At 36.2% G+C, this 14,059-nt stretch overlaps 1 long non-coding RNA gene across 1 annotated transcript; it reads right to left on the bottom strand.

The window, feature by feature from the left end:
- Positions 1–4,821: 4,821 nt before the first annotated feature.
- On the bottom strand, positions 4,822–13,606 carry LOC124905194 (uncharacterized). The gene is made up of 2 exons (XR_007068248.1): positions 13,482–13,606; positions 4,822–8,126 (listed from the first exon to the last, which is right to left on the bottom strand). It is a non-coding gene; the product is annotated as an uncharacterized LOC124905194 (long non-coding RNA).
- Between the last annotated feature and the right edge of the window lie 453 nt (positions 13,607–14,059).

The following is a 14,059-nucleotide window of genomic DNA, read 5'->3' as shown; positions in this document are numbered from 1 at the left end:
AATCCTCAATAAAATACTGGCAAACTGAATACAGCAGCACATCAAAAAGCTTATCCACCATGATCAAGTGGGCTTCATCCCTGGGATGCAAGGCTGCTTCAACATACGCCAATCAATAAATGTAATTCAGCATATAAAGAGAGCCAAAGACAAGAACCACATGATTATCTCAATAGTTGCAGAAAAGGCCTTTGACAAAATTCAACAACTCTTCGTGCTAAAAACTCTCAATAAATTAGGTATTGATGGGACGTATCTCAAAATAATAAGAGCTATCTATGACAAACCCACAGCCAATATCATACTGAATGGGCAAAAACTGGAAGCATTCGCTTTGAAAACTGGCACAAGACGGGGATGCCCTCTCTCACCACTCCTATTCAACATAGTGTTGGAAGTTCTGGCCAGGGCAATCAGGTAGGAGAAGGAAATAAAGGGTATTCAATTAGGAAAAGATGAAGTCAAATTGTCCCTTTTTGTAGATGACATGATTGTATATCTAGAAAACCCCATTGTCTCAGCCCCAAATCTCCTCAACCTGATAAGCAACTTCAACAAAGTCTCAGGATGCAAAATCAGTGTCCACAAATCAGAAGCATTCTTATACACCAATAACAGACAAACAGAGAGCCAAATCATGAGTGAACTCCCATTCACAATTGCTTCAAAGAGAATAAAATACCTAGGAATCCAACTTACAAGGGACATGAAGGACCTCTTCAAGGAGAACTACAAAGCACTGCTCAATGAAATAAAAGAGGATAGAAACAACTGGAAGAACATTCCATGCTCATGGGTAGGAAGAATCAGTATCGTGATAATGATCATACTGCCCAAGGTAATTTATAGATTCAATGCCATCCCCATCAATCTTCCAATGACTTTCTTCACAGAATTGGAAAAAACTACTTTAAAGTTCATATAGAACCAAAAAAGAGCCCACATGGCCAAGTCAATCCTAAGCCAAAAGAACAAAGCTGGAGGCATCATGCTACCTGACTTCAAACTATACTACAAGGATACAGTAACCAAAACAGCATAGTACTGGTACCAAAAGAGAGATATAGAACATGGAACAGAACAGAGCCCTCAGAAATAATGACGCATATCTACAACCATCTGATCTTTGACAAACCTGACCAAAACAAGCAATGGGAAAATGATTCCCTATTTAATAAATGGTGCTGGGAAAACTGGCTAGCCATATGTAGAAAACTGAAACTGGATCCCTTCCTTACACCTTATAGAAAAATTAATTCAAGATGGATTAAAGAGTTACATGTTAGACCTAAAACCATAAAAAACATAGAAGAAAACTTAGGCAATACCATTCAGGACATAGGCATGGGCAAGGACTTCATGTCTAAAACACCAAAAGCAGTGGCAACAAAAGCCAAAAGTGACAAATGGGATCTAATTAAACTAAAGAGCTTCTGCACAGCAAAAGAAACTACCATCAGAGTGAACAGGCAATCTACAGAATGGGAGAAAATTTTTGCAACCTACTCAGCTGACAAAGGGTTAATATCCAGAATCTACAATGAACTCAAACAAATTTACAAGAAAAAAACAAGCAACCCCATCAAAAAGTGGGTGAAGGAAATGAACAGACACTTCTCAAAGGAAGACATTTATGCAGCCAAAAAACATGAAAAAATGCTCACCATCACTGGCCATCAGAGAAATGCAAATCAAAACCACAATGAGATACCATCTCACACCAGCTAGAATGGCGATCATTAAAAGTCAGGAAACAACAGGTGCTGGAGAGGATGTGGAGAAATAGGAACACTTTTACACTGTTGGTGGGACTGTAAACTAGTTGAACCATTGTGGAAGTCAGTGTGGCAATTCCTCAGGGATCTAGAACTAGAAATACCGTTTGACCCAGCCATCCCATTACTGGGTATATTCGCAAAGGATTATAAATCATCTGCTATAAAGACACATGGACAGATATGTTTGTAGCGGCACTATTCACAATAGCAAAGACTTGGAACCAAACTAAATGTCCAACAACGACAGACTGGATTAAGAAAATGTGGCACACATACACCATGGAATACTATGCAGCCATAAAAAATGATGAGTTCATGTCCTTTGTAGGGACATGGATGAAACTGGAAAACATCATTCTTAGCAAACTATCACAGGAAGAGAAAACCAAATACAGCATGTTCTCACTCATAGGTGGGAAATGAACAGTGAGAACACATGGACACAGGAAGGGGAACATCACACACTGGTGACTGTTGTGGGGTGGGGAGAGGGTGGAGGGATAGCATTAGGAGATATACCTAATGCTAAATGACGAGTTAATGTGTGCAACACACCAACATGGCATATGTATACATATGTAACAAACCTGCACGTTGTGCACATGTACCCTAAAACTTAAAGTATAATAATAATAAAATTTAAAAAAAAGAAAAATGCAAATCAAAACCATGAGATACCTTCTCACACCAGACATAATGGCTAGAAATAAAAAAGTCAAAAAACAACAGATGCTGGCAAGATTATGGAAAAAGGGGAACACTTATGCACTGCTGCTGCAAGTGTAAATTTGTTCAACCATTGTGGAAAGCAGTATGTGATTCCTCAAAGAGCTAAAAACAGAAATAGCATTCAGCCCAGCAATCCCATTACTGGGTATATACCCAGACTAATAAAATCATTCTACCATAAAGACACCCACATAAAGACACACACATGCTCATTGTAGCACCAGTCACAATAGCAAAGCCAAGGAATTTACTCAAATGACCATAGATTACAGATTGGATAAAGAATATGTGGTGTATATACACCATGGAATACTATGCAGTCATAGAACAAGATCATGTCTTTTGTGGAAACATGGATGAAGCTGGAGGCTATTATTCTTAGCTAACTAATGCAGGAACAGAAAACCAAACACTGCATGTTTTCACTCTTAAGTGAGAGCTAAATAATGAGAACTTATTGACACAAAGAAGGGAGGAAAAAACACTAGAGTCTACTTGAGGGTGAAGGGTCAGAGAAGGGAGAGGAGCAGAAAACATTACTATTGGATACTAGGCTTACTACCTGGATGATGAAATAATCTGTATGACAAACTCCCATGGCACGAGTTTAGCCATATAACAAACCTTTTAACCCTAAACCTAAATTAAAAGTTAGAAAAAAAAAACAAAGGAAAACTAAATGCATACTCTTTTGTTTGCGGGTGCAGAGTTCTGTAATATCTGTTGGGTCAATTTGGTCAAGTGTCAAGTTCAAGTTCTGAATATCTTTGTTAGCTCTCTCCCTCATTGTTTTGTGTAGTAGTGACAGTGGGGTGTTGAAGTCTTCCACTGTTACAGTGTGATTACATAAGTCTCTTCATAGGTCACTAAGTTATTTTAGGAATTTCGGTGTTCCTGTGTTGATGTATATATATTTAGGATAGTTAAGTCTTCTTGTTGAATTGAACCCTTTAGCATTATGTAATGCCTTTCTTTGTCTTTTTTGATTTTTGTCAATTTAAAGTCTGTTTTGTCTGAAATTAGAATGACAACCTCTGGGTTTTATTTTTTTTTTTTTTTCCTCATTTGCTTGGTATTTTCTCCATTTCTTTATGTTGAGTCTATGGGTGTAATTGCATGTATCACAGGTCTCTGGAAGACAGCATACATTTAAATCTTGTTTCTTTTTTCAACTTGTCACTTTGCCTTTTAATTGGGAAATTTACATTTGAGATTAATATTGATTTGTGCAAACTTGGTCCTGTCATTGCATTGGTAGCTGATTATTATGCAGAATTCATTTTGTGTTTGCTTTATAGTTAAGTGTGTGTTGTGGTGGCCATTAATAGTCTTTTATTTCCATATTTAGCACTCCCTTTTAAAGGACCTCTTGTAAGGCAGGTCTGGTGGTAATGAATTCCCTTAAATTTGCTAGTCTGAAAATATTTTATTTCTCCTTTGTTTATGAAACTTAGTTTGGCTGGATATGAAATTCTTGGTTGGAATTTCTTTTCTTTAAGAATGCTGAATATAGGCCTCCAGTTTCTTTGGGTTTGTAGTGTTTCTGCTGAATGGTCTGTTGTTAGACTGAGTGTTCCCTTTGTAGATGATCTGCCCCTCCACTCTGGCTGCCTTTAATATTTTTTTCACATTGATCTTGAAAAATATGACTATGGGTCTTGCAGATTGTTGTCTTCTGTATTATCTCACATGGCTTCTCTGCATTTCCTCAGTTGGAATGTTGGCCTATCTAGCAAGGTTGGGGATATTTTCAGAAACAAAATCCTGAAATATAATTTTCAAGTTGCTTGCTTTCTCTCCCTCTCTTTCAGTGATGCCAATGAATCATAGGTTGGGCCTCTTTACATAATTCCACTTTTCTTGGAGTTTTCACTTATTCTTTATTATTCTTTATTTGTTTATTTTTGCCTGACTAGTTGATTTGAAGAACTAGCCTTCAATCTCTGAGAATCTTTCCTTAGCTTGATCTATTCTGCTGTTAATACTTGTGAAAGTATTATGAAATTCTTGAAGTGAGTTTTTCAGCTCTATCAGCTCAGTTTTTTTTGTCTTAAAATGGCTACTTCATCTATATTTTCAATCAGTGCATGGTTTGTGTACCTCTCATGTAGAGCAAGTGATGGCTTAAACTTTTTTGAGCACAAAAAATGATATTCAGTCAACCATATTGAATCTCACAGAAGCTTAGATTCAATGGCAGGTATTGCTGAGCATAGGATGATGTCAGTGTGCAACATGTACTTATTTTTTTTTGCTTTCATTACCATACAGCCCGTAGTCCTGTTGCATAACATGGATGCATTCAGGCAAGCAGTTATTTATTTACTTATTTATTTATGCAAAAATTATACATCAATCACATAGTAGGTGCCAGGCATTAGAGATAAAATGATGAACAACAATATCCACTTTCATGGGGTCTAAAGTCTTGTGGGAAAGATAAGCTTTAATCAAATTTCAAAATCATAATATTATTAACTAATGTTACAAATGAAAGGTATTAGAATCTATAAGAGTGGAACAGGAGGTCCTGATCTACTCTTGGTAGTGAGATGTTAGATATTCAATGAATGTTTTTTGAAAAAGTATACAAATGATTAATTACAAGATTAATTACAGCTTCTCAAAATTAAGATTCTACAAAAGTATGACAGAGACTGCTACTTATCTCTCAATAATTGTTCTCCCTTGCTATAAAAGTAGACATGTTAAGCAGGTGTATGGCAACTCAGGGGAAAAAAAAAAAGATTGTTTTCCAGATTTCCTTGAATACAGATATTGTTACATGAATAGGTTCTTGACAATATCATGTGAAAAAATAATGCATGAAACTTCAGAGTAGTATTCTGATGCTTGGTGTGGTGGCTCATGCCTGTAATCCCAGCACTTTGGGAGGCCAAGGAGGGTGGATCACGTGAGGTCAGGCATTCAAGAACAGCCTGGCCAACATGGTGAAACCCCATATCTATAAAAATACAAAAATTAGCTGGTCATGATGGTGAGTGCCTGTAACCCTAACTACTCAGGAGGCTGAGGGAAGAGAATCACATGAACCCGGCAGGCAGAAGTGGTAGTGAGCCGAGATTGTGCCACTGTACTCCAGCCTGGGTGACAGAGCAAGACTTTGTGTCAAAACAGAAAAAAAAAAAAAAGCAGCTTCAGAGTAGCATTGTTAAAGTGGAAGGGGCCAGCCCTCCTCTTTTCTTCTCCCCACTGACTTTAATTCTATTATGGGTATCTTGAAACATGAGGGATAAAGTGAATACCACAGTGATGGCAGAATCACAAGAAAAACAAAAAACAAACCTGGGCCCCTGGTATCTTTGTAGAGCAGAGTAACATGCCACCTTGGAATGGACTTGGAGTTTTTACAGGTGTGATAAACTTTTATCCTATTTAAGCCATTATCTTCAGGTTTCTTTCTTTTTTAATTTATTTCTTCTAAAAAAAACCCCACAAAAAACAAAAAATAAACAAACTGGATACTTTTGCAGAATGTGCAGGTATGTTACATAGGTATACATGTGCCATGGTGGTTTGCTGCACTTACTGACCAATCCTCTATGTTTCCTCCCCTCACCCCTCACCCCCCAACAGGCCCTGGTGTGTGTTGTTCACCTTTCTGTGTCGATGTGTTCTTAATGATCAACTCCCATTTATGAAGGAGAACATGCAGTGTTTGGTTTTCTGTTCCTGTGTTAGTTTGCTGAGAATGATGGCTTCCAGCTTCTTCCATGTCCCTGCAAAGAACATGATCTCATTCTTTTTTATGGCTGCATAGTATTCCGTGGTGTACATGTACCACATTCAGTCTATCATTGATGGGCATTTGGGTTGGTTCCACGTCTTTGCTACTGTAAATAGTGCTGCAATAAACATACGTGTGCATGAGTCTTTGTAGTAGAATGATTTATAATTATTTGTGTATATACACCATAATAAGATTGCTGGGTCAAATGGTATTTCTGGTTCTAGGTCCTTGAGGAATCACCATACTGTCTTCCACTATTGTTGAACTAACTTACATCCTCAACAACAGTGTAAAAGCATTTCTATTTCTTCACATCCTCTCCAGCATCTATTGTTTCCTGACTTTTTAATAACTGCCATTCTGACTGGCATGAAATGGTATCTCATTGTGGTTTCAATTTGCATTTCACTGATGATCAGTGTTGTTGAGCTTTATTTCATATGTTTGTTGGCCACGTGAATGTCTTCTTTTAAGAAGTGTATGTTCATACCTTTTGCTCATTTTTTGATGGGGTTGTTTTTTTCTTGTAAATTCTGAATATCAGACCTTTGTCAGATGGGTAGATTTCAAAAATTTTCTCCCCTTCTGTAGATTGCCTGTTTACTCTGATGATAGTTTCTTTTGCTGTGCAGAAGCTCTTTAGATTAATTAGATCCCATTAGTCAATTTTGGCTTTTGTTGCAATTGCTTTTGGTGTTTTTGCCATGAAATCTTTTCCCATGCCTATGTCCTGAATGGATTTCCTAGGTTTTCTTCTAGGGTTTTTATGGTTTTGGGTTTTACATTTAAGTGTTTAATCCATGTTGAGTTAGTTTTTGTATAAGGTGTATGGCAGGAGTCCAGTTTCAGTTTTCTGCATATGGCTAGCCAGTTTTCCTAGCAGCATTTACTGAATAGAAGATCCTTTTTCCTATTTTGTTTTTGTCAGGTTTGTCGAAGATCAGATGGTTGTAGATGTTTGGTGTTATTTCTGAGGTCTCTCTTCTGTTCCATTGGTCTATATATCTCTTTTGGTACCAGTGCCTTGCTGTTTTGGTTACTGTAGGCTTGTCGTATAGTTTGAAGTCAGGTAGCATGATGTCTCCAGCTTTGTTCTTTTTGCTTAGGATTGTCTTGGCTATACAGGGTCTTTTTTGATTTCATATGAAATTTAAAATAGGTTTTTCTAATTCGGTGAAGAATGTCAATGGTAGTTTGATGGGAATAGCATTGAATCTATAAATTACTTTGGGCAGTATGGCCATTTTCATGATATTGATTCTTCCTGTCCATGAGGGTGAAATGTTTTTCCATTTCTTTGTGTCCTCTCTTATATCTTTGACCAGTGTTTTGTAGTTCTCCCTGAAGAGGTCCTTCATGTCCCTTTTTAGCTGTATTCTTAGGTACTTTATTCTCTCTGTAGCAATTATAAATGGGAGTTCACCTATGATTTGGCTTTCTGCTTGCCTATTGTTGATGTAAATAAATCCTTGTGATTCTTGCACATTGATTTTAGATCCTGAGACTTTGATGAAGTTGCTTATCAGTTCAAGAAGTTTTTGGGCTGAGATGATGGGGCTTTCTAAATATACAATCATGTCGTCTGCAAACAGAGACAACTAGACTTCCTCTCTTCCTAATTAAATACCCTTTATTTCTTTCTCTTGCCTGATTGTCCTGGCCAGAACTTCTAATACTATGTTGAATAGGAGTGGAAAGAAAGGGCATCCTTATCTTGTACTGGTTTTCAAAGAGACTACTTCCAGCTTTTCAGAGAAATAACTGAAATCCTCACTTGGTTTGGTTTAACTTGATTTCTACACTTGATCTTAGGCAAAAGGCCAAGAAGTGGTGGTATAACTTGATTTCTCTGGCATGGACATAATGATCTGCAAGAGCAAAACAGATTAGTTTTAAATAAGGGTTTTACAGTATAAGGATTTTTTTATAAGAATTAATTTTCTGCACACATACACACGGCACATGAAGAACGGCAAGCAATCTAGCCAGGTTATACACTTCATCTCTACAAATAATAATTTAAACAACATGATAGGTGTGGTGGTGCATTCCTGTGGTCCCAGCTACTGTCAGGAAGCTGAGGTGGGAGAATAGCTTCAGCCAGGGCAGTCAAGGCTCCAGTTAGTTGTGATCACACCACTGCACTCCAGCCTAGGTGACAGAGTAATACTCTGTCTCAAATGAAGAAAACAAAATAAATAAATAAATAAATAAATAAATAAATAAATAAAAGAAAAGAAAAAGAAACCCAAGCAAAAGCATAACCTTTTATAATACTAATTAACTATTTTTAACTTGAGATAATTATCTCAAGTATTTAACAATAATAATTATTTCTTTCTTTAACTTGAGAATGACGACATAGAAAAATAAGACATAGTTTGACTTTTCAATGTTCTTTTTTAGTGTGAGTGTGTCAGAGGGTCATGCTCCTCAGCTTAAGGCATGTTATCACAATTCACGCAAAGCTCCCCACCTCCATGATGTTCATTTAGTTATTCTACTTTATCTTCATGCTCTATTTCCATTCTTATCTTTTTCCTCATCATAAGCAACCATTCTGATAAGTTTAGTGTATTTTTTATTTGTACATATTCTTGCAAAATGGATTTTGTCATTTCAAATATATGCATATGTTACCTTATTGTGTATTTCATTACCCATTTTTTCACTCTCAGCATTATATTACTCAGATACTTCTATGTTGCTATATCTAATCACCTGCTTCTGTGTCATAACACCTTGTTGTGTGCATCCAGCACATTTTACCATCCATTCTTCCAGTGGTTAACACCCAGATAGCTTCCACCTCTCTGCTTTACTGTACACTTTTGTACATGTTCTCTATGATCATTCTATCCTGGCCTCTCTCTCCTAAACTTTGATTCCATATTGGCAACTACTTGCTGAATGCCCTGGCAGCACCTTGACTTTAGCATGTTCAAAACCACTCACATAAATATGAAAGTGTTTTGTAAAATGATTGTTATTATTTTATTTCTGTCTGTATTTTTCCCCAAACAGGTTATATTTTCTGACCTTTTTCTTCTGTCAGTGGTACCACAATTTTCTCAGTTATAAAACCTTTAAATTGAGAAATCTCAGAGTCATCTTACTGACTTATTCACCTTTCTCATCCATATTCCTTACTAACCTAAAAATTATTCCTTTGTGATGTATCTTGCATACACGTTATTACTGGTGCCACTTCCCATTCTTCATTCTGTACTAATATGAGAATCTCCTAGTTGGTGTGTCTATCTGGTTGCTACCCATCCACGTCTATCCCCCCACAACACTCCAAGATATCCTAAATACTGCTACCAGATCAGTTGTTATCATGTAACTTTCTTCTTTGTTTAACGATTTTAAGTGGCTCTATTTTGCCTATATGTCTAATCAAACTCCTTACCCTGGAACTCAAAGCTACCTATGAGCTAGTCCCAGTCTCTTTTTAATGATAAAAATATCTAACACTACATAGGATTTACTATGTGCCAAGTACTGTTCTTAGCCCATGAGGTGAGTACTATTATTAGCCACAACTGGTAAATAACTGATTAAAAAGAAAACTTCCCCAACATATAACTACTAAGTGGCTGAACTTGTGTTAAAACTCAAGCAGTAAGATCCCAATGTCCATGTTCGTAACCACTACACATACTGCTCCGTTTTGATTGCATATGGTAAGAATTCTTTACATGTAGAAAAAAAGTATTGGTCACTGTTGCCTGCCCATGATATGTTCTTTTTTTTTTTTTTTGCTTTTATTAATATTGTTACCCCTTTTGGAAAGCCTTATTCCACCACCTCAACATTAATCTGTACTTCAAGGACCAATTCAAGCCCCAACAAAGGCTAGCCTACTTCTCATATTTCTATATTAAATTGGGAAATCTCAGTTCTTTTTCTTTACTTATATTGTTTCCTACTGTTTTATATGATATAATAACAGAAGTTAGATAAATAATAACAACAGTTAACATTTATGAAGCACTTACTGTATGCCAGTTTCCTTCTGATCCTATTTCATGTGGTCACTTAGAAAATATTAATGACAAACCAATGAGGTAAATAGTATTGCAACCCACATTTCTCAAAAGGATATAAGATGTGCAATCAATTTTAATTATTTATATGGACTACTGCTTTCATTATCTACTCATTAATCGAACCTTCATACTACAACTAGAATTATCTTTCTAAAATGCAAAACTGATTCTAGCCTTTCTTGCATATTGTCAAAGATTGCTCAAAGTCTACAGAATGAAGTTCAAACATTAAATATAGCACAGTATGTAAGATGTTTTACAATATGGTCTTTGCCTTGCTCTTGGACTTTAATTCCAACAATTTCTTTTTCTTTCCCACCCCTAAGTAACCCTAAATTTTAGCAACCTTAGATCTAGACCAAGTTCACGAAACTCATCCACTTATTCATGTCCACTGCTTTAAACTTACAATTCCCTCTGCCTGAAATGTCCTCTTTTACTCTACCCACACCCCCAATCTCCCTGTTGCTTTGTGTGAAATACTGTAGCATAGTGGCTTTGAGCAGTTTTGAGTTTGAATCTTGGCCCTGAGACTTACTAGCTAGGGCAAACTACTTGCCCTCTCTGTGCCTCAATTTTCTTATCAGAAAATGGATATAATAAAATATCCTAATTCATATGATGAGGAGGAAATTATAAATAATGCATATAAAGTATTCAACATAGTGTCTGGCACATAGTATTTAATGAATGGTTGGTTGTATGTGCACCCTTAAGCTTGTGGTAAAAGCAGTGAAGGACTGCTATCCACTGAGTTGATTATGGCACCAGAAGTATCATAGTAATCCATTAAGATTCTGCTAAAATAAAACATCCTCTCTAACTGCCCATCCCATCTCTTCATATTCTCTATTATTGCTGTAGTTTAGACATACCTCTATTGGAGCTGTTATCACAGCATACTGGAATTATCTATTTATCTATCTGTCTGTGCCTATTAACCCCTAAGATACATAGCAGTTTTGATTTAAATATCTCTGGATCCCCAGCACTGTAAGCCTGACTGTAAGTAATTATTGAATGATGAGTAAATCCTCAACAAACAAATGTGACATCAATCTAATTACTTTCACAATTTCATAATATGAGTAGAAATCCATTTATAGAAATCTATTTTGAATACCTGTGTGTATAAGAACAAGAAATGTATATGCAGATTTTGCAGATTTCTGAATGCAAGAAAAGTAATTATTTTCTAAAACAATAATAAAAGTCCAAGATAGTTGTTCCTAATTCGAACATATTATTTTATAACACAATTAAGCAGCTGAAAAGTAGCTGTGTAAAATTGATTCCTTCCGATTTCAGGTTTCTCTTTCTTATTGTTCTTGTTACTTTAAAGATACTTCTTCCCAGGTAAACTGATGGTCTAAAACCTTATGAGTAAGAATCACATTCAATTTGAGGAGTCAAGCAGAGTATTCTATTTCCCCTCTCAAATTAACAATGAAATTTTTACCTAAATTCTAAGGACAGGATCTTTATTTCAGGAGAAAAATGTCAGAAGACAAAAAGATAAGACTAGAACTGTACTAGACCCTCAACTGCTTCCTCTTCATGGGACAACCACAAACGTATTTTAAACACAATAGAAATTTTACCCTAACAGTTATTTGCAGTACTATTCTGACAGTTAAGAATCTCAAAAAGGGACTTTTTTAAAAGAAATGAAAATGGAGGAAGTTCCTCCAACAATGAAAGATGTCCAATTACACGGTCTCTGTTATATTATCATCACATAAAAATAGGGAGGACATACTCCCCAAACAGGAAGATTTTTTATTTGTTCGCATGTATTTGCAATGTAAAAATCTCTTTTGTATATAAAAATCTTTTGATATTGCTCCTTTCTCCTTTTCCCCATCTCAGTGTTTCCTGTTTATCTGGCTTTGTTCATGAAGAAGAAAAATATGGTTCATTCAATCTAACAATTTCTCAGTGTTTTAAATGCTTCTTTCAGAAATAGCCCTTTAGGGAATCCTGAAATGTTGTCCCATTTATTTTCTTCTGCCCATAAACCAGAGGCTGACAAGAGCTTGTGGTTAGCTGCCCTTAGTAAATCAAAGAAATAAAAGTCTCTTCAAGGACAAAGTAAAGGAGACAATGTACAATGTAAATGTTTTAAATCAGATGAAAAAAATCATTGAACTCAGCTGTACGCTGCAAGCCCAGAAGAGCTGAGCTTTAGATTTCAACATTTCAATGGCACTGAGGAAAGTAGCTAGTGTGCATTCCTCACTTTCTGCAGTCAAATAATCCTGCTTCTAATTATAGTATTTATAACAAAGATCCAGTGTTTTTAAAAGCAAATGAGAAAGAAAAAGCCAAGTCAGAAATATGAAAACACACCATATTGTAACCTCTTTGTAATGGCCCCTGATTTATTTCTGAAAATATAAAGGAAATATTTTCTAAAGAAATCAGTTTATAAGTGACCCATTTCTAATTTTATTAAACTCAAAATCTTTGTGACTAGAGCACCCCTCTCTTCTCTTTCCCTTCCCCCTTTCCTCCCTCCTTCCCTCTCTCCCTTTTTCCTCATCCTTGTAATCTAGTCTCTTCCCCCACCCCCGCACCTCCCACCCCACCCCTCGTCTTTCTCTTCTCTCTTTGACCAGTCTGTCTTAAATATGCACTCACTTATAAGAATGAATCCACCAATTTAAATTTGAAATGTGCTTCCCACCTTTTGTGTTACTCAGGTTCAGAGAAATTCAAGAAAGCAAAGTAGGTAACAGCTGAACTGGAAGTGTAAGCAAAAGGAGAAAACAACTTTAACTGAGAATTAAAAAATAGTTTTTCTTCTGCTTGCAAAAGAAAATCCTCAGCAGCATTTCCAGCCTCTTCGAATTAGCTCGTATCTATGGCTTTTTATCTGTTCATAATACAAAATGCTAGGATCCAGATGCTTTAAAACAATATTTTTTTTAAAAAATTGACCAAATAATGAAAGACAATCTGAGTTTTCAGAATTTCCCTTTCAGGAAGAACCCTGCCTGCTTTTGTATCTCTGGACTGCTTTCTAATGTGCAGGTTTTACTTGCAGTCATCTCCTAATACAGAGAAAGGACACACAGAGACATGCGCATCACCACCTCAAATGCAGAAGCGTCTGAATTGCAGAAGCAGTGAATTAGAAAGGAAAGAAAAGGGGAACAATGGAATAGTTACCTTGAATATCCAGCCACTGGGATACTTCCAGGTACAATCTCAGTCCCTTTCTGCCTTGCTGCCCTGCTGGCTCAGCTCTGCTTGTGAAGTGCCTTCCTCCCTTCTTCCTCTCCTTCGTTGTGTGCTTTGGTGCTTCATGAGTTTCCCTTTTTAATACAAGGAAGTATGTAGACCCTCCTCCTCTACTATGACATACTTGGCTTCCTTCCCTGCCAGCCTCCTACATGCAAATCCAAGCTCTCTATTCTGCAGTTTGAGGAGGAAGCAAAAAGAGAGATGATGGTGGTGGTAATGTTAATAAAAGAGTAGAATATTGGCATAAGAGAGAATTTTTGCTGATCATTTTATTGGTTCCAAAAACACAATAAACATTTAGCAGATTCAAATTATCTTAATGTTTTTTTTTTTTTTTTTTTTTTTTTTTTTTTTTTTTTTACTAAATTGGCAGTTGAATTATAAACTTAGATACATTAGGGATGTTTACTTTTGTAAATAAAAAATAAAAACTTGGGACCGCAATTCACTGTGCTGAAGATAAAAAAATTAAACTGAAAGATCAGTCATGCAAAAAACTGTCT

Source organism: Homo sapiens, chromosome X (genome assembly GCF_000001405.40).
Source record: "Homo sapiens chromosome X, GRCh38.p14 Primary Assembly".
In the NCBI taxonomy this organism is placed as follows: Eukaryota; Metazoa; Chordata; class Mammalia; order Primates; family Hominidae; genus Homo; species Homo sapiens.
Note: the sequence above shows the minus strand (reverse complement) of the source record. Positions and strands in the feature narration are given on the sequence as shown.